This window comes from Homo sapiens, chromosome 2 (genome assembly GCF_000001405.40).
Source record: "Homo sapiens chromosome 2, GRCh38.p14 Primary Assembly".
In the NCBI taxonomy this organism is placed as follows: domain Eukaryota; kingdom Metazoa; phylum Chordata; class Mammalia; order Primates; family Hominidae; genus Homo; species Homo sapiens.
The window spans coordinates 75,606,649-75,628,439 of NC_000002.12; the positions used below are offsets into that span (position 1 = coordinate 75,606,649).

General features: G+C 43.5%; 1 long non-coding RNA gene and 1 other non-coding gene across 3 annotated transcripts; both read left to right on the plus strand.

The window, feature by feature from the left end:
• The first annotated feature begins 2,015 nt into the window (after window positions 1–2,015).
• On the plus strand, window positions 2,016–17,358 carry LOC124906026 (uncharacterized). 2 transcript variants are annotated; one of them, XR_007087115.1, is made up of 3 exons: window positions 2,016–2,693; window positions 7,203–7,360; window positions 10,910–17,358. It is a non-coding gene; the product is annotated as an uncharacterized LOC124906026 (long non-coding RNA). The 2 variants fall into 2 exon arrangements; XR_007087114.1 differs by lacking the exon at window positions 2,016–2,693 and adding an exon at window positions 6,500–6,658.
• A 3,946-nt stretch (window positions 17,359–21,304) lies between these two features.
• LOC124906195 (small nucleolar RNA U3) lies at window positions 21,305–21,520 on the plus strand. Its single transcript, XR_007088773.1, has one exon. It is a non-coding gene; the product is annotated as a small nucleolar RNA U3 (small nucleolar RNA).
• The last annotated feature ends 271 nt before the right edge of the window (window positions 21,521–21,791 follow it).

A 21,791-nucleotide genomic window follows, 5' to 3' on the forward strand; every position in this document is an offset into this window, starting at 1 on the left:
ACAACAACCACAAAAATATTTGGAGGTCTCCCTGTCCTTGTGTTCCAGAAAGTTCGATATATGGGGATTGCAGTGGGAAGAGCAGTTGCCAGCATTGTGGAGAGACTTCTAGAGACACAGGGGACTTGAGAGTGGGAAATGGCAAGAAAAGTGCCCTGAGCCCCGGCCCAACTTGGCTCTTAAAGAGAACCCCACCATTCATTAACTGGCCCTAAAACCTGCTAAGTGAAAAAGTAAAATAAATGAGCTCATTAAATCCGGAAGGAGGGAAGACCTGGAGGCTTAACCAAGGAAATTCCCAACACCCACTTAGAAAAACAAGGGGGTTTTAGGCTCAGTTAGATTCATGGCCAGGAGTGGGGGCTGGCCCCCAAACAAGGAGGTTGAGTCATGCTGAACCACCATGCAGAGCTCGGCCATTTCCAGCTCTGCAAACAGGAGCCTGGATAGGGAGCTGCTGCTGCTTGTAGTGTGGCGGGGATGGTCAGTGTGGTTTACCAACTCAAGTGGTCCACATCCTTAGTCAAACTCATGGGGAAATCAGTTGAGAAATATAGTGGGAAGTTCCAGGAGCATGCAAAGTTCTTGAGAGAATTATGACTTCAACCCAGACTGCGGTAACTGCCTGTAACAAATACAGCCTGAGATTCGGCTTAATAAAGACTGTTCATCATGTACCATCCATTCCTCCCCGATTTATCACTCACTTCCTGAGGACCATCTATGTGCTGGCGCCATGCTAGATGCTGCCCTTTCAGGCCTAACTTGTTAGTATTGCTCCCATCGACCAGTCCAAGTTCCTATTCATGGTCCCTGCTTCACCCATGACCATAGCCCTCTTTGGTTGTGGGGTTCTGCAGATTCCCTTCAGATCTCCTTGTTCTTGAATGAGTGGAACTCTGATGATTCCTGGCATCTGCTCTCGTCTTGGGTAAAAGATTCCCCTCCAGGTGTGGCAGCCCCAGGCCTACACAAACAATGACTGTACCTAGAATAATACCTGCTGTACTGATGCATGGGCAAGAACAATGGGAATGCTGAGGAGAGAGTGCCTAACCCCATGTGTGTGTTTGCTGGGAGGCATCAGGGGAAGAAAGCCTTGTCCAGAAAAGGTGGCTTGTCAGACTTTCTGCAGGGGGATCAGCGTGAGAGGATGAAGGCACGGAAATGTCACGAGGACAGCCAGATGAACAAGAAACCCACCCACTGCCAAGGAAAACATATGGTCAGGTTTACTCTGTGCCCTTTGCTCCTACCCACTGATTCTCTTTCCCCAGGGGCTGCACGTCAGATCCATTTTCATGACTGACATATTCAAAGTTATCATTTGTCGAAACTTGAAATCTCACAAGGAAATCTCCTATCTGGTGAGATCCATTCCCAACTACCTTCTCTTTGCCTTCCTCTTCCAACATGGACACCATTCTCAGAGGCAACATTTAATTGTGAGAAGAGAATGAGTTTTAGAGTCTCAAGATCTTGAATCCCAGCTCGGCTAATAACTAGCTGTGTGACATTGGACTAGTTACTTAACCTCTCTGAGCCACGTTTTCCTCGTGTGTAAAATAGGTATAATAATATTTTCCAAATGGTGTGGTCATGAGGATTAGAAATAACAGATATAAAGTGCTCCTCAAAATGCTTTGCATATAGCTTATGTCCAAGGACGGCAGATCATGTTATCTGATTGTGAGCTGGATTGTCTCACCCTAAGAACCCTCTGCTCCCTTCAGTGACTGGCTGCTACTCAGCGAAGGAGGGATGTGGCTTAGTGCCTGTCATGACAGCTGGGACTCTCTGTGACTTCCATCTCTGATGCAAAAACACTGGGTTCTCCACTCTGCATCTCCATGGAGTTTACCCTTTGCTCTTAGAAGCTTTAAAAACTAATTGTCATGCATGAACAAGCTCTTGGAATCCAAAGTCACTTCCTTAACAGTCAGAAAGGTCAGCCTCCTACACGGCTTTCAAATGTGCTCCCAGAGGTCTACTCTGAAGGTCAGGGCTACCGACTGTTCTAGATTTCAAAGCATGTTAGACACATTGTTACTCTCTCTAAGGCAAGTGACTTACAAGAGGGGTGCTTGCAAAAGATTTAAAAATTAAATCTGTAGTCCCCTTTCCTGGTAAGAATAGCGCCAGCTTCTTTGGCTTGTAGACCAGAGGGAAAACCAGCCTGGCTTCCATGAGGGGTGCTAACCTGGGGGAGAGGAGAAGGGGCGGGGAGGAGGTCGAGCACCCTGGGATCCCCTAAGAGGTCACTGACGGTATTTTTCTCAGACGTCTAGATGGATAGCAAGTAGCTCTGTTGTCCAGGAAGGGGAGGGGGTAACAGGACCCTTTGTGTTTTGAGTTGAAAACAAAGGATCCCTGGGATTCATGGGAGCCTGCGCTGCCCTGGGGCTCCTGGGACGAGCTGGCACCTGGAAGGCGGCTGTGAAAGAAAACTGGCGGCAGAACTCAGCTGAGCTGCAACCTCGTGAGCTCAAGTGGGGGGTCACCCCTGGCTGAGGTTACCACTGAGGGAATGGGGTCATCCTCCCTAGAGAACCTCGGCGGCTGTGCGGGGATACGGACAAAAGCCGCTTTGTGGAAGACTGTGGGACCGTCCAACGGCGCCACCGTGTGGCGGCGCCGGGCAGCGGCAGACAGCGCATCCCGGTTCTCACACACACCTGGACCTTCTAAGACAGGTGAGTCTCGAGGAGATGCTGGTTTTCTGATCACTACTTGCTATGCAATTTGGAAAAATGAGAGAGATTTGCTCACATTTTCACTCCAAGTGTGTGGAGCAGCTGAATTTAGTCCCAGGCAGTAGTAGCCCCACGCTAAAAATTGATGACTTAAAGACAATTCAAATAGAATGAAATAAAGACTGCTTGAACATTAGGGATGTCCAGGCCCTGGGATGTTTCCAGGCTCCTGATTCAAAGAACAAGTGTCGTGTGAGCAAATGAGTGAACGAGGAAAGGAGTGAGTGAATTGAGACTTTCTGAATTGCCATCGGGAACCCTGTTAGGGTTTTCATTCCCACTGCAGATCTGTTAGACAGGACTTTCCCTGCCTCCACCAAGGCACAGGTATGTTCGAGTGTGAGACGGCTCAAAATATGTACAATTCACAAAAAAATTTCCAGGAACAGCTTAAACAATACTTGAACACTGTCCCCTACTTGAGAACATAGAAGGATCTGTATAAGCATCCATAGAGGAGGGAAGGGAGGGGAGCTGTGAGAGGTTCTTTGGAGTGCACTGTTGCCAAGTCCCCACTTCCCTTTGGAGGAGTGTGGAGGGAATGCCTCCTTCACTCAAGCCTAGTGAGGGGGCTTCCTTGGGAGCAGTAAGCGGCCTTGCACTGTGTTCCCACAGGCTGGGGACACAGAAAATGCGTGTCTGACTCACATTGAGATGACTGAGAGAGTCTGTGCAACGGGATAGACAATACTTCTCTGGAACTGGGCTGCACTCCCAGAATTCTTCAGAACAGGGGTGTGTGTTTCCCAGACCACGAAGAGGTGGGAAAGCCAGATGGTGCAGTTGCAAGACCTGCCTAAGAGCACAGCCTGGGGAGTTGAGGGGCCCCCAACAGTGAGATTCAGTGCTGAATGGGCCATCATTGAATCAGGGGTTTAGGAGTAGAGGAAGAAGACATCCAGAAGGCTGAACGCACTGCCCACATCACAGAGCTGTGGTCAGAGGCACCGGCAGGGAGCCTCTAAAGAGCCCAGGAATGCACCACTGGAGAAGAAGCCAGCTTCAGATATCGGCCTTGCAAGCAGGCTCCATCAGACACAGGTCCCCACTGCAAGAGACCCTGCCCTTGTTCCCTAATGACCTTGCCTCCAGCCTCATTGCCAACCTTCTTTAGCAAGTTTGGGGAACATGAGCTGAGAACGAGATAAGCTGACCATTGTGTCTTCTCAGAAAGCAGGGTTTTCCATGCCTTCTCTCCAGCTGGAAGGAGGGGACGAGACTGAATGGTAATTTAGGTTCCCAATTAAGAGACAGGGTCCTGTTCTGTCACCGAGTGGTGTAATCATAGCTCACTAAAGCCTTGAACTCTTGGGCTCAAAGGATTCTTCCACGTCAGCCTCTCCAGTAGCTAGCACTACAAGTGCATGCCACTGCGCCTGACTAAATTATTATTACTTTGCAGAAAGGGGTTTCATCATCTTGCCCAGGCTGGTCTCAAACTCCTGGACTCAAGCAATCCTCCCACGTTGACCTCCCAGAGTGCTGGAATTACAGGTTCAGCCAGGTTCTGAGTTCTTACTATTACACAAACTAGTCTTTTATAGACTATTTGCAACTAAGTAACTGCAATATTGTTACAACCTGATTGTGAGCAGAAAAGCCAAGAGTCCAGGGCAAATACATTTTGAAAGGACAGTAGGAGGCCAAAACTAAAGATGGGTTTTGATTAGGACACACTTGCGTTTGTTCAACATTCAGGTTGTGGTATGTACAACAAATCTTTATCTGGAATTTTGTCTGTGCTGAGGCTTTGAAGGACAGAAGAGGAGAAGGAGAAGATAGATCCCCTACTTTACCACCACCGTCCTCCAACCATCTCCCACCACCATCCTCCAACCATCTCCCACCACCATCCTCCAGTCATCTCCCACCACCATCCTCCAACCATCTCCCACCACCATCCTCCATCATCTCCCACCATCACCCTCCAACCATCCCCCACCACCATCCTCCAACCATCTCCTACCACCATCCTCCAACCATCTCCCACCACCATCCTCCATCATCTCCCACCATCACCCTCCAACCATCTCCCACCATCTCCCACCACCATCCTCCAACCATCTCCCACCACCATCCTCCATCATCTCCCACCATCACCCTCCAACCATCTCCCACCATCACCCTCCAACCATCTCCCACCACCATCCTCCAACCATTTCCCACCACCATCCTCCATCATCTCCCACCATCACCCTCCAACCATCTCCCACCATCACCCTCCAACCATCTCCCACCACCATCCTTCAACCATCTCCCACCACCATCCTCCAACCATCTCCCACTACCACCCTCCAATAATCTCCAACCACCATCCTCCATCATGTCCCACCATCACCCTCCAACCATCTCCCATCACCATCCTCCAACCATCTCCCACCACCATCCTCCAACCATCTCCCACCACCATCCTCCAACCATCTTCGTGGTACCAGCCCCTCTCCAGTGCCTCATGTCTCCCCTCTGCTCACAGCCTGCCCTGCCTCTGTAGCCTCTCTAGCATCCATTCCTCTCTGACTTAGCTCCTTCATCCTCCCTACTGCTGCTGGGACAGATCAATCAGTAATCACCATCATCTGAAGTCCGTCTTCCCTCCCACCTCTCATCCTGTCCCTGCACAGAGTTGGGACCCTGCCATTATCTTCATGTTACAGGTGAGGGAGACCGGATCTTCTACCCAGGGTGGGCAATGACTTATGAATGCCGATTAGTGGTGTCAGAACTACAAAGGGTGTCTCTGGCTTGGGGTATATTCACTTAACAGAACACATTCCATTATTAAATCTTCTCTATCAATTGTTCTACTTCTCAACTGTTCACATTTCTTCAGTTATCAACCGTAGCCCTCGCATTTCTAACTCAGCACAGTGGGACGGGGTCCTACCCTGCACAGCTGAGGCATGACTTGCAGTTTAGAGATGAGGCCGCGGAGAAGGGGAGAGAATGAAGTGCCTTTCTGAAGCTCCTCCAGACCTACAAAGGCTCTTCTGCTCCTGTGTTCCATGTCCTAGTGAATGGTCACACTCTTACACCCAAGGGCCCAAGCCAGAACCCTGAGAGCTGTCATAGCTGCTGCCTCTGTCTCTTACCCCTCACATCATCAGCATCCTTGGATTCCCTCCCTTCCTCTTAGTTTCTGCTGCTTCTGCCTCAGCTCAGACCTCACCACTTTAACAAATACAGTAGCTCCCAAATGTTCTCCCTATATCAAATCTGCTCCCCTCACCCATCTGGCTCCCCATTCCAAGGAGTGTCCTTCCTAAGCATTCACTCAATATGCATTGACTGAGCAATCCTATCTGTTGGGCACTACGTGTATCAATGTCTAGTCGAGATGCAGGGGCCATGCCAGGGAGTTCAACAGAGGAAACTGAATACAAAGAACTAGTTACAATGGTGTAGGGAGAGCTGAAAAGCCAAGCAGGAGACAATGAGGCCAGAATTGGCAACAGCAGAAGCCCATTAACATCCCCAATGCTAAAGGGACAAAAGGAGGAAGATGGTGTTGTCAGAGCTGGAAGCAGTGGCCACTTGGCAGGAGCTTGAGCCTTGGAGACAGGGGTTGTCCAGTAGGAGCTGGAGCCTTAGAGGAGATGCCGTCATTGTCAGTGGTGCCTCTCGAAGCAGAGCAAAGGGGAGAGAAATACTCTGACCTTTCCCTTCCTCCCACCAGCACCTCCCATTGGCCAAACCCAGCAGGAAGCCAACCTGCAAGTGATCCTGGGAAATGTAGCTTGCAAGGGTGAGCCTCTGTGACGCAGAGCAGAGAAGCTGCGGGGATCTGAAAGCAAACATGGTCTTTCCAGGACATGCTCTGTGCTGGGAACTGGGGCGGAAAAAATCAAACTGGACAATCACAGCCCAAAGACACCCATAAGCTATACCAATAGTTCCAGTGCAGTGTGGTAAGGGATTAGGGATCTATGTGGTGCTGGGAAGGGCCTGCGGGGGGGGGGGGGGGGGGGGCAGATAAATAAAGATTCTCGGAGGGGGTGACATCTGAGCTGAAATGCAAAGGATGAATCAGTTAACCAGATGAAAATGAGAGTGGGTTTGGGAAGGCCATTTTAGGGTAGAGGATGCTTGAAGACAAGGGACAGAGAAAGATCACGACTTCTCCACAAGGAATCCTTTGGTGGCTCCTCATTGTGTATAGGAGAAAATCTAAGACCCTCTCCAGGTAGTAGAAGGCCCTGCTGTCTCCAGCCTCAGCTCCACCTCCAGTCTACCCCTGAGACTCTAGGCGCCCTATACTTCTGTCTGTGGACATAGTGCTCACTATTTCTTGTCGGTGCCTTTGCACAAGCATTTCTCACTTGTTCCCTGGTAAAGCTCAGCTCAAATGTCAACTACTCTGTGAACTTTTCTGATGTCCCTAAGTGAAGTTATGATCCTCTAAGACCTTTGTACATTGCACTTACACATGTATTTATGGATTTGTTTCTACAGCCGACTGCTTCCAAGGACCTATAAATAAGGTCCTTGAGGGAATGCCTTCATGTTTACCCTATGTATCCTTCATGCCTGCAAAGCACATGGCACAAAGTGGCACTCAGAAAATTGGAAGAGGGTGGAGAAAGGAGGAAGACAGGCAAGAAGCAGCCAAGGTATGTTGATTTCAAGGTCATACCACTGCAACTTTTGAAAATATTCATGTTTATGTTGGAACACAGAGAACTTTTCGAAGTTGTATTAAGATGTAAACACACCACACTTTTGTGAATATAAATTTCATCTTCGATGTAAATATTCTATGGTTTCCTTCAAGGTTATATTGCATTTCACAATCTACCCACATAGCATGACGAACTCGCCCTCAGGGAGATGATGTTTCCCTGGCATTTTCCTATCTCCGCCTGCTCCTAGAGGCCACTTCAGCAAGCTCTGAGATTTCACTGCACACAACCAATCCCTACCTTGCCAGGCTCCAGAAGGTACTTCTGCTTATCTTTTTTTCTTGCAAAACACCCAGATTAGCTTTCAAAATTGCAGCTAAATCTAAAGCAAATGGCTTATAAGAAAGGCAGAAGTGGGTCACAAATAATTATACCTGATTTGTCCCCAGCTGCCTCTACTCGCCACATTCTCCAGTGCAGCTTGGCATAGCTTCAGAGTTGTTCATTCTCTGGCCTAAATGTCCAGCAATAGGGCCTCAGCCAAATGAAGTGTGGTGCAACCACATGATTTAACACTGGGCAAATATTAACAATGGTGTCGAAGGTGCATGGTTACTGACATAGGAGAATGTTCATGATAGCCTCTTAAGTTACATACACATGACTTTTTATTTATTTGAGACAAGATCTCCCTCTGTTACTCAGAATGGAGTTCAGTGGTACCATGATGGCTCACTGCAGCCTCAACTTCCTGGACTTAAGCGATCCTCCCACCTCAGCCTCTTGAGTAGCTGGGACAGGTGTGCATGTCATCACACCTGGGTAATTTTTTTTTTTTTTTGTAGAGACAGGGTTTCACCATGTTGCCCAGGCTGGTCTCAAACTCCTGAGCTCCAGAGATCCTCTTGCCTCAGCCTCCTAAGGTGCTGGGATTACACGTATGAACCACCGTACGCGGCCACACATGACTTTCTGTACAGAAAAAAAGGGCTGAAATACGCACACCAAAATGTTTGTTTTTCTTTATTCTGTACTCTTCAAAATTTTTAATAATAAGCAAATTATATGTGAAAAAGTAGTAATTTAAGATTAAATATATATATTTTAGTTAGTGAGTCATGGGTCACCTTTACATATATTACAATTTGAGTCTGGAGGCCTAAATTCCTCACTTTTATCACCTTTCAAAGTGCCTCTTCTATTTCAAGACTTAGCACAATTGCTCCATTTCTGGGGACCTTTCTTGCCCAACTAAAATGTTATTTGCGAGCATTCCCCCAGCCCACTGACAACCCCTACACTCCAGCAACCACTATAGGGTATTGTGATGGTTTCCTCGTAGCAGAGTATGAGCCCTTTTGAGGGAGTTATTCAGCTCCTTGTCCCCAGGTCTACTTGACACATTGAATAAATGAATGACCCAACACTTTGATGTGTGGCATTGGACACATCCTCACCCCTCTATAAATCTCACTGGCCTCATCATTAAAAAGGGCATAAATGCGCCCATTCCAGGAGTAGCTGTAAGGATTAAACAAATGTTTTGTGCAGCAAAGAACAGTGTAGAGACATAGTGGTCCTCACAGGAAGGGCAGATGTGAACATCAAGCCTGGAGTCCACACCACAGGTTTCTTCTTCCTGCCCCTGCTCTGGGCTATTTGCTAATAAGACAGAAAGTTCACTTTTAAAATGACTTTGTACAAGCAGTAAAGAGGACTTGTGTGTATGTGTTTTTATCTTGTGTTAAATAAGATTATGAGCTGGGCGCAGTGGCTCATGTCTGCAATCCCAGCACTTTGGGAGGCTTGAGCCCAGGATTTAAAGACCAACCTGGGCAACATTGTGAGAACTTGTCTCCATGAAAACTAAAAATAAACTGTCCACTGTGGTGGCACATGCTGGTAGTCCCAGCTACTCAGGATGCTGAGGTGGGAGGATCACTTGAGCCAGGGAGCTTGAGGCTGTAGTGAGCTATCCAGCCTAGCTGACAGAGGGAGACCCTGTCTAAAAAAAAAATTAGTTATCCTTAAGCCACCAGCTCTCCTGAGAGATCCCCACTGGAGGCAGCCTGAAGGGTCAAACCTTGGTCTTTCTGAGCCCCCACATGGTTTGGAGAACTGGGTTTTCCCAAATACTTCAGGGTGCTGTTTTGAGCAATAAAACTGTTTTAATTATTTTGAATGGAAAGCTTTCTAAACTGTGTAAATTTACACAACATTGTAAATGAGTTTTCTAACCATTGTGTGTCAAGTTAGGCTCACTATGTTTTATCTTTTTAGGTATTAACTTCATATACAAATCGTAATGTTAGCTAATATTTACTTTGGCCTTGGTATGTTTCAGACACCATTCTGAATATTCTATTACATTGGCTTATTAAGTCTTCATAACATTTATAGAAAATAGGTGCTATTGTTACTCCTGTTTTCCCAATGAGGACACAGGTCCAGAGAAGTTAAATGAGGTGCTCAAGGCCACAAATCACAACATATAAACCCTAGCACCATAGCTCTGGAGCCTACATGCTCACACTACACTTCAGCTGTCCGATCAGCATTATGCAAAGAAAAGTACATGACGGAGTGAAGATCTGGGTGTGGGTAGTGCATTCATTTCTTAGAAATGAAGTTTCCATTTTGTAATGAGCATATATATATATATGTGTGTGTGTGTATGTATATATATGTATATATATGTGTATATATGTATATATGTATATATACATATGTATATATGCGTATATATACACATACGTATATATGTATGTGTATATATATACATATGTATATATGTATATGTATATATGAACATAATGAAAAACAGGGAGAACCCTGGGTCCACCAACCAGTGTAAAAGTTCTCATTTACTCACAACATCCAGTAAGATAAAATTGGAGCAATTATGCTGATCAGTAAAGCCATCAGTTGATGTCTTGATGATGTTGAAGTAAATATGGCAAGAATACTATTGGGGAAAATGTCTAAAGCGTCTGTTTGAGTCCATTTTTTGTTGTTATAACAGAATAACACAGACTGGGTAATTTATAAAGAAGAGAAATTTATTTCTTACAGTTCTGGAGGCTGGGAAGTCCAAGAGCATGGCACTGGCATCTGGCAATGGCCATTTCACTACATCAAAACATGGTGAAGGGCATTGTATAGTGAAAGAGCAAGAGCGTATCCGCTCAGGGCTCTCTTCCCCTTCCTATAAAGCCACCAGTCCCATGATGGGGGCCCCACCCTGATGACCTTATCTAATCCTAACTACTTCTCAGAGGCCTCACCTGCAAATGCCATTAAGACATAAATTTGGGGGTTGAGTTTCCAACACATAAAATTTGAGGAACACATTCAAACCATAACAGTGTTTATGAAGAGTTTTGCCAAACTACACTAAATAAGGATTATGAGCCTCACCTTCTCCTGCTCTCTGAGTGGCGAGATCATCACTGAGGGGTCTTGCCCTACCCCCACATGCACACCTATGATCATCATTAAAATGCCCTAAAGTTCTGTCCGATTCCTTATCTTCCTATACAGGCTGAGAATTCTTTCACCGAGTTTGCATGAAGCATTTTCTGCTAGGCTGCTATTGCTTCAAAATGCTGTCAAATATGAATGAGGATTGCAAAACTAATAGAAATATCTGAGAACCAATATACACAGCACAGTGATCACTCTTCACCCTGCGCTCCAGACTCCTCACTGTTCCTCAAGGGGCCCTGCATTTGCTTTTGCTCATTCATTCATTCCATGAATGTTTATTGAGTCGCTACTATGTACCAGGCCCTCAGCCCTCAAGGACCTGAGGCCTGATGGAAGAGACCAGCATCAGAATGTGATGACATTTATAATTGTACAGATACAAACTGTAAAATGTTCTATGAAGGAAGATCACAGGCAGCTGAGGGAAAGACTTGCAGGGAAACAATCTGATGAGAAGGATAAGACCTCAAGAATTAGGAATGAGATGGGGACAGGGTGGAAGTTATTGCAGATGGAAAGAACAGCCAATAAAAAGGCCCAACACATTTCTCCATCAGAAGACCAACAACATGGCTACTGAAAATGGGAGAACTTGTCAAGAGATGCATCTGAAACAACAGGGAGGGAAAGGCACTAGATTGGGGAGGGTGTAGGGCCATGAACAGACATGGGATTGCCCCCCAACTGCAATGAGAAGACAGTGAGAGAATTTGAGAAGGAAGTAATAAGAAAAAAAAATCATCCTTGCCCTCAAGGAATTCACAATGGTATAATTAGATTAGAAGCTCCAAAAATGTTAATTTAGCCTTGGGTAAAATTATGAGAACACAAAAAAGAGATCATACTACTATTTTAAAACAGGGCTTGGGAAGATATATTCAGGGTGACGCTAAACACTCGGAGAATTCTGTGTCTGTTCTGGCTATTTCCCTTCTCAGTGAAGATAAGAAAAGAGCAGGTTAGGAAATATTTATGTTTTGGGGGCTACAGGAGCAGAATGAACAGAATAATTGGCCAAATCAGGGAAAAGTCTTCCTTAAGTTTAAGTGGATACAGGCTGTTTCTTATTATAGGTTGAGTATTTTTTATCTGAAATTTCTGGGACAGAAATGTTTCAGATTTGAGGTTTTTCAGATTTTGAAGTATTTATATTTACAGAATGAGATATCTTGGGGGATAAGACCCAAGTCTAAACGCAAAATTCACTTATGTTTCATACACATCTTGTACACCTAGGCTGAAGTTAATTTGATACAATATTTTAGGTAATTTTGTGCATGAAACAAAGTGTTGACTGTGTTTTGACTGGGACCCACCACATGAGATGAGCTGTGAAATTTTCCACTTGTGGTGTCGTGTCAGTGCTCAAAGAATTTAGGCTTTTGGATTTTCAGATTAGAGATGCTCAGTGTTTATGATAAATAACAATTTCTTCAGTGTTTACTAGCAAAGATAGGAAGCTTCATGAGATATTCCTAATTTACTCTTAATTTATTTTTTACAACTGCATGTTTGGTATTTGACATTATCTTTCTTCTCTTAGCCCATTGGTTGGCAATCTATAGCCCATGAGCCAAACCCAGCCCATCACCTATTTGTACACAGCCCATGTGTATTAACCTCATCTTTTCTATATTCTGAGGCTTTGACATCTGGAGCCTTGGTAACACTGGAGATTGCCTCTCCTAGGATTAGCTAACTCCTAAAGATGAACTCACCCATGAGTGTGATTTTCAAATACAAACCAACCAAATCCAGAGCCCACAACCCCAATCATCTCCTTTATTGAGCTTTCACACTCCAGGCATTTATCCACCTGCCCTAATTACCCCAGGACCAGGTATCAGACAACCAGGCATAGTTTTTATCCCCAGAGCCCACTGTAATTATTCAAACCAGCCAAGCTTAAACCTGCATATCTAGCTTACTCCATTCCTTTCCACAAAAATCACAATAAAGGCTCTAGCAATCTTTCCCTCCCCCTTTGCCTCCTGACCAGCCCCAATGCTTCCAACACACAGGCCCTGTGTGGGCCCCCAAGGTGTGACATGCCTCCTTCTCTTGGGAGCTGCGAGTAACAAGTCACAAACTATGTTTTCTTTCTTCTTTTTTGTTTGTTTGTTTTGAGACAGAGTCTCACTCTGTTGCCCAGGCCAGAGTGCAGTGGTGCGATCTTGGCTCACTGCAACCTCCATCTCCCAGGTTCAAGTGATTCTCTTAGTTCAGCCTCCTGAGTAACTGGGACTACAGGTGTGCACCACCACACCCAGCTACTTTTGTATTTTTAGTAGAAACAGGGTTTCACCATGTTGGCCAGGCTGCTCTGAAACTCCTGACCCCAAATGATCCACCCACCTTGGCCTCCCAAAGGGCTGGGATTACTGGGATGAGCCACTGCGCCTGGTCGACAAACTGTTTTTGAAGGCAATCATCTCTCAATCTGTTGGCCTTCCTGGAGCTCAAATTTTCTATTAATACACTATCTTTTAAAACATCATGAGCTAAGAATGGCTTTTACATTCATACATGCTTGAAACAAATCAAAAGACTGTTTCCTGACACATGAAAATTATGTAAAATTCAAATTTTATTGGAACCCAGCCATTGTCATTCCATTACACATCATCTGTGGCTGCGTTTGTGCTATGATGGTAGAGTTGCAGAGTCGTGACAGGAAACTTATAGTCTATAAAACCTAAAATATTTACTATCTTTACAGAAATAGTTTGCTGACTCCTGCCTTAATGTATAGACATGTTTGCTATTTTATTGGTTTACTTAAGCTATAAACTTGTGTAACCCATTGCTTTCTATGTATAGTATAGATCTGTTTATAATCTGAAAACTTCAGAATCTCTAGGTCTAGGTTTCTTCCTATAGTCTATCCCAAATTACTGAGCCTCCAGTGTTTTATTGATTTTTTAAATGATCCTTAGTAAAAATATTTTACATTGTGACTCAAGACACTCACATAAATAATAGAAACAAATTTCATGAAGCATTACTCATTCTTAATGTGTGAATCACTTTGACAGTTTCCGTTCTCTTCTACTCCAGTTTTTTAAAGTACCAGTCAAAAATCTACCAATTTCACACCCCACTTATGGGTCAATGCACACATGTTAATAAACATCATGAATCTAACAGATTCAAATCTAAACAACACAAAATGTTTCTCTTCTACACTGTCTACCAAGGAAGACGAGTACAGAAACAGCAATAAAGTTTAGATGATATGAGTTTAAAAGAAGTCTTTAGAAGCAAAGAGGGATAGAGCTATTTTTTTTTCATGGCATTGTTGGGTAGTTTCATCAAGAAAGATCTTGAAAGATGGTCAGGAAATCCTGGTAGAGAAGAAAAAATTGGGGGAGGGCACAACTCGCCCCATGTCAGAATGACATGCTCTGTAACAGAAACTCCACAGGTTAAGAACAAGGTCTTAAGAAATTTTTTATTTCTAGTCCCTAGTGTAATGTTTTACACAAAGTAGTTGCTCAGTAATTGTTTGTTATGTGTCCACTGAGTAATTGCTCCAGGACCTATTTGAGCCCAACTCTACCCACCTCTAAATATGTAAATTTGAGTTCTTATATCCTATTTTTTCCCACTACTTTTCACTCCTATTGGGTCATTTTAATTAATGCAACTGACTTTTTTTGAAGGTATACTGTGGTTAATGTTTGAAACCAAGATCCCAAATTTGTTTCTACTGCTCTGGCTGCCATGTTTGATTCTTAAGAAATTCATCAGAAGGGACCCAGCATTCAAACCCACACTGTGTTGCTGGTAGGCTTCCACTGTGAATCTCTTTGTTTGGTCTATCAGCCTCAAGGATCTTCTGTATGTGAGCTTAAGACCTCGAGAGGCCAGGCCAGGGCTGCCTGCTCTACACTTCCTTTTTCTGAATGCACCCGGGCCCACTCGCCTGTCCCTCTTACTACAGAGAAGCCAGGAAGAAACAAATGGATTTCTGCCTCTTTACACTCACATTCCAAAGGTTCTGCTTCTACATGATGCCATGTGAAGTCCAGTGCCCCTCCAAGACTCCCAAGATTCTTCATGGTCCCTTTGGCTCTGAGTCCTAGCTTTTCATGAACTCGTGATATCACTTGTGTTTGTTTCCTGTGATGGGTTGTCTCTTTTCTTTACCCCATTTCCAGGATTCGTCATTCACCCCAACCCAAGCCAATCCACAAGGCTTTTCCCCAGAATTTGGGATAGTGGAGATGTATGTCACCATAAGTCTAGCTGTTCTTTTCGTCCTAAATATTATCTGCTTCTCTGTTTTCTAGGTCAGGCATGTCACTCTCTTCCGGTATGCCTTAAAAATCAATAGCTTGCTTTATTAAGCAGAAAATAGCAGAGTTCGCCTTCCTTGTAGTTCTGGGCCTCTCTGCCTGTACCAAACTCATCCATTCTGGACAAAATAAATTGTTCGTAATGGGTTTCTCCATTTCAGCAGTGTACTAAGGGGGTGATGGAGGATGGGAGTGGTCTGCCCTGGGTGCAATAAGGGAGCGCCTGGGTGTAAATAATTTAAAAGCAATAATAAACTCAACTGAATATTCATCTGCTTTCTATTATCACCATGTGCCAGCAATTCTAACAATCTCAGCAATAAAATACTCCTCCCCACTGGAACCACTCCCACTGTTACCCTTGCCCAGTAGGACCCACTCCCACTGGTACCCTTGCCCACTGTGCTCCACTTTGGTAGGCACTGCTCCAGTTAGGAACACAAAACATGCAGGCACCTTGAAATGTCCATTGTTCTCATCCGCTCTGCCAGGGAGATTTCATTTTTCAAAGATAGAAAACTTCTTCCTTCCTGGAATTCTTTTTTCCATTGGCTTCTATGCCACTGCTCTCTCCTGGTTTTTCTCCACTGCCTCTACCTGTATTTCCTTAGTCTCCTTCCAAAGTTCCCCCTTCTCTGTGATAGACTCCTTCCCTGAACTAGTCAGGAAGTAGGCATGGTTAGTTGATTCTAAGGAGGTACTTACATGAGCAACCCTTGCCCAAACTTTGCCATGCAAATGGAGCCGAAGGAAAAATAGAGAAGCATCATGTTCTGGAGAGGGTTCCAAGGCATAGCAAGAGAAGTGTTTCCAAAATGGGGACTTGAATTGAGCAAGAAGAGACAGAGTGAGGGAGGCAAGGCTAGTCATCTGCTATGTGATGAAGGCAGCTCTCCTGAGGTCTGCTGCAAAAACATTCTATGCTAGATTCATGTGTAGGATTTCAGGAATGAGACAAAGGATACAGCCAAACAGTCTTTGGCAGAATTATATTACTCCACAGCTCAGCAGAAGGTTTGAATCTAGATAATTGAGGTGATGGTGGGAGTTTCTAGGTCGGAAAGGCAAAGAACTAGGAAAAACACTGGGAGTAGGTGACCAACCACAGCAGCCTGTGTGTTCCTCTCATCTTATATCCCCCAAATGAGAGCTGCTCGTCAGTAGTGCCCTATCTCACATATGGCCAGCTAGGGTGAAGCAAAAAGCAATCCACAAGCTGCCTAATGGCCCAATATGTATCAAGGTCTTTATCTAGAAGTAAGTGTCTAAAGAGTATCTCAGCACTGTGGACATGGCCAGAGGGCAGGGTGCAACTTCAACACCTTGGAGAGTGGCCACAGGTGTTGCTGATGTCTGGGAGGGAAGAGAAACAAGGAAATGCAGCCTCTTCTATCACATGCACTTGTAAGGCAGAAAAAATCTAAACACCCACACTATGGGCACTAGCAAGGAAAGGAGTCATTCTCTCAGATCGGGAGGGAGAACTCTCTGATCTTTCACTACCTTCCATGAGGTTTATCATTCGGAGACACGAAGCATCAGTCACTCTGACCCCACATGCAGCAGGCACCTGAGGCCTTCCCGAAGTGGGTCCTCAGCACCCACTTTATTCCACTTCACTTCCACTGTGGGAGGTTGAGTTCCATGCAGTATCTAGCTACATCCACATATCCGTGCCTCCCTTCTCTGCTTTCCCATTCACGTCTCCATTCACCAAAGGCTGGCTCTGCACTGGCATCTGACATCCCCACATGGACTGCTGTAATCAGATAGGAAGCTCCAGTCAACTGAAGCATCTCCAAGAATCTGAGTGGCTACCAGGCTGCAGGAAGGAATCAACTCATCTCTTTGGGTGCCCTACCAAGACAGACAAGAAGAACACTACAAAAAAAAAAAAAAAAAGAAAATCATATGTGATGAGGGTACTTTATTTATATATTGGAAGAATTGGTGTAAAATTTTGAGAATGAGGACTCCTTAAGAAGACATAAAATCCAGAAGTTATAAATGATTAGATTGGTATATTATACTATCATTTTTTAATGTTTATGATAAAAGTTACCAGAAAGAAAATGCAAATGATAGCGCAGACAAAATACTTTTAATACATGTGATACACAGGTTAGTATACCTAATATACAAAGAATGCCTACAAATTTATTTTAAAACAGACTAAAAGAAAAATGGGCAAAGGAGTTGAACAGGCCATTGATAAAATGAAGAAATGCAGATAACTAACAAACCTACAATAGGAAACTCAATCTCACTAGTAGGGAGATGTAAATTAACACAAAAATGAAATAGTTTTCACATCTAAGATTGGCAAATATTTAAATAATTTTAGTAAAAAAGATTTCTATTTTTACTGATTTAAATTGATACATAATAGATGTACATGTTTTCAGGGTGCTTGTGATAATTTGATATGTTCATACAATCAGCAGTGTAACTGGGATATCTATCACGTCAAACATTTATCTTTTTTTCATGCTAGGAACATTTGAATTGTTCTCTTTTAGCTATTTTGAAATGTACAATAGATTAATATTAACTATATATGGTCACCCTATTGATCTATTGAACACAGGTCTTATTTCTTCTAGTTGCATATTTGTAACAAAAATTTAAAAGAGCTAACATGCAGAACTGACAAAGAGGAAGGAAATAAAAACGCCTATGATTGTTGGTGGTGAGTGAATCCCTACACTTTTGAAAGATACTTGGACATTTATTTATTTATTTATTTTGAGATGAGTGTCACTCTGTTGCCCAGACTGGAGTGCAGTGGCGTGATTTTGGCTCACTGCAACCTCTGCCTCCCGGGTTCAAGTGATTCTCCTGCCTCAGCCTCCCGAGTATCTGGGACTACTGGTGCACGCCACTATGCCCAGCTAATTTTTTATTATTATTATTTTTAGTAGAGACAGGGTTTCACCATGTTGGCCAGGCTGATCTCAAACTCCTGACCTCAGGTGATCCACCCTCCTTGGCCTCCGAAAGTGTTGGGATTACAGGTGGGAGCCACCGCCTCCAGTCGTTACTTGGACAATTTCTAATAAAATCACAAATCCACATACCTATCGGACTAGAAATCTCATTTTGAGGATCTATTCTACAGATAGAAAACAAGCAGTGTTTAGATGCAAAACAAACAATGATTTTAATGGCAAAAGGAGGTAAAATTGTCAAAGGGAAATTTTCCACTTACACTTGCCCCAGAAGATGACAACATAAAATTAGATATTTCATTCCAACTGATTGAGAAAGAACCATGAAATTGAGTGACCCTAAGAAGACAGACCTAACAGAACTACTGGAAGATCTTTGCTGACCAGTGAACAATGGAAGAGACACATGGACTCATTCAACCCTTAATTAGCATCCTAGCCTGAACTCTCCCTTTCCTAGCACTCAAACCCTCCTAACTTTTCCCCTCTGCAAAGTTCTCAGTGGATGTATTCACTGACGTGTACTCCTTGCCAGGCACTTTAATAAACGTTTTATTTTTTTCAATGCTCTTGTGGTTTTTGTCTTATTATTTGGCCAGAAAAATTAAACCACATGAGTTATGATTTGGACATGCTAAATTGTATTGCCCACAGGATGTGTCCTGGAATGAGGCCAGCAGGCAGTTTCAGGTCTGTACCCAAAGCTTGGCTTAGGTGTTTGGGAAGAAGTAGATCAAGAAGCCACCAGCAAAGAGGTGTTAGTTGAAGCCAAAGATAGGAATAGGATACCAACTAAGCGAAATGTGTTGCTGAGAAGATAAGAAGGCTTGGGTGAAAGCACTGGAAGATTTTCTAAAAGATGCCAAAGCATAAAGGATGAGTGAATATATGATCATTTAATTGAAGCGTTCTATGTTTATTCTTTACTTGCAGCCAACCTCCAATGCCCAGTACCTCCTGTTGCTTATAGTTTTAGACTGTTTTGTCTCTTTACACATAGTAATTTTTTTTCCAGACTTCATTCAGCAAACCAGGGAGCCATCTGGCCACCTCATGATGGAAAAAGCATAAATGTTCTGGGAGGTTCCCTATAAATTATCATTATTGTGCAGCACTGATAAGGAAACAAGATCTGTCTGTGTTTTAAGGAGGACTCTCAGTCCTCAGGTTTATGTAAAAGGAATATATCTTCATTTAGATTTAACTTAATTTCTATGTGGAGCCCCACTCTTGCCTCTTTTCCATGGGAAGAATCCCAATATCTTCAGGTTTACCCTGACCCCAGCCACACAGAGGTCACCTTAGTCCTTTCAAGTGAGGCAGCAGCTCTCTACTTCCTCTGTGCCTTTCTTGAGAATCAACTTTATCTTGCTGGGTGGCATGGCTCACGCCTGCAATTTCAGCACTTTGGGAAGTGGAGGTGGGCTGATCACTTCACCCCAGGAGTTCGAGACCAGCCTGGGTAACATGGTGAGACGCCCGTCTCTACACAAAATTAAAACATTAGCCAGGCGTGGTGGCGTGCATCTGTAGTCCCAGCTAAGATTGTGCCACTAGACTCCAGCCTGGGCAACCGAAAGAGACCCTATCTCAAAAAAAAAAAGAAACAAAAAACATCTATTTCCCCTTGCTGCCTGCTCACTGGCCTCAGGCCCCCTAAGACCCTCTGGAGTCCTATCATCCTTTGCTCTTCCCCACTCCCCCAAGAACTCTGCCTGGGTAGCACCATGCATGGCCTGTCTCCTCAGGACCTACCCACTGCTTTGCGCCTCTGGGGCTTGGAAATCACTAGGAGGCTATGGCCATTCCTTTCTGGGATCTTCCTAACCTTTCAGACTCCAACACCAGACTTCCTCCCAGCCCCATACCACTGAAGAGAACTCTGATTTTCGACTCAAACGCATTCCCTCTGCTATGATGTTCAGCCTCAGAGGCATCTGAGTGTGGGCTTTAGCCAGAGGTCAGCAGATTGTCTTTTGCTGTTGTGCTCCTCCCCTAAGGCAGTTGATTTAAACAGGTCTACCTTCTTGAATGGAGGTGGTAAGGGGGAAAGTTCAGAATTTTTTAAATGAAATATGCAAGGGAAGAAAACATCAATTAGTATCTCAAAATATTCTAATAGTTGTGTTTACTTATATCTCCAGATCACTCTGTTGTACCCCAAACAGACTCTTATATCAACTGCCAACTCACCATGTCCACTTGGATATCCAAGGGAACATGATAGGATGTGATTTTTGCCCTTTTGAGCATTAAAAATTTTCAGTGGCACAGAACTCCTGACACAAAGGAGAATTAGAAATAACTCAAATCTACACTTGAGCAAGACATATATGGTTTGTTTCTGTGGAGAAAACATCATCTTTCTAGTATCTCCTCACCACAGAGAAGAGCCCTACACCAACTGGGGACCTAGGTACTGTGTGCAGAGAGTAACGTCCTGAAAGCATTAAGGGAGTGCTGTCAGGTGGATAGTGATGGCTTCTGATTGTCAGTTGGAGGGTGCTATGCTAATTGGGAACTTTGTGACTTAAACTTAAAAAAATATTTTTTTAAATCAAAGAAACATTTGTAGAGGCAGGTTCTTGCTATGTTGCCCAGACTGGCCTCAAACACCTGGCCTCAAGAAATCCTCCCATCTCAGCCTCCCAAAGTGCTGGGATTGCAGGTGCGAGCCACCATGCCCAGCCAAGAAATGATACTGAAGAGCCCAAGGTATTTGTTAAATTTGTGGAATGGAATTTTTTATATATATATATATATATATATATATATATATATATATATATATATATAAATAAATAAAATATATGTACATACATGGATATAAAATATAAATTATATATACACATATAATTACATGCATATATACATATATAAAATATAATTAAATATATTACATATTATATACTATATATGTTAAATTTGTGGAATGTAATCATATATGTATATAACATATAATATAGATAATATATATAATATATACACATACACATATGTGTATATATGTATATATGTATATATGTATATAATATGTTACATAATTTATGTAATTATATATTATATATACATAATATATTTATTATATATGTAATTATGCATTTTAAAAATATATATATTGGTTGTAGGGATGGAGGTGGGAGAAATCTCTCAATCAACAAAATAGGAATAAAATTCCTAGTGCCAACTAAGGTAGAGGGCAGATCTTTATACTTTCAGGGATCAATTCTATAGTAGGTTACTAGAGAAATGTTTCTGAACAGAGTAGGGGGAGAAATCTCAATGAAAAGCTGCAGTAGCTCTCCTGAGCATGAAGCTGGCAGGTGGTGCCACCTGGTGGTAGCCACTGCTTGCTGTCGATGACCGTTCTTTGCTCCTTGGACAAGGATAAGAGAGAGAGAGAACACAAGCTGCGGGTTCCTTTCTGATGTGATTGCTTGTATTTTGTTCTTCACTCTCAGGGATTGTTCCTTTCACTTTTCCATAAAGGAAACGGGTAACATCTAGTATCTTCTTTATTTCAGTTTTCTTATGGCCATACTAAGGATGCATTTGACAACAAAACTCTCAAAAAGATAAATTGAAGGTGTATCTCTTTCTTGGCTTGCTCACCCTTTACCAAAAACTTCCTTTTTCAAGTAAAGCAGTTAGTTCTTTGCTTATTTTTATATAACAATATATGATACTGTT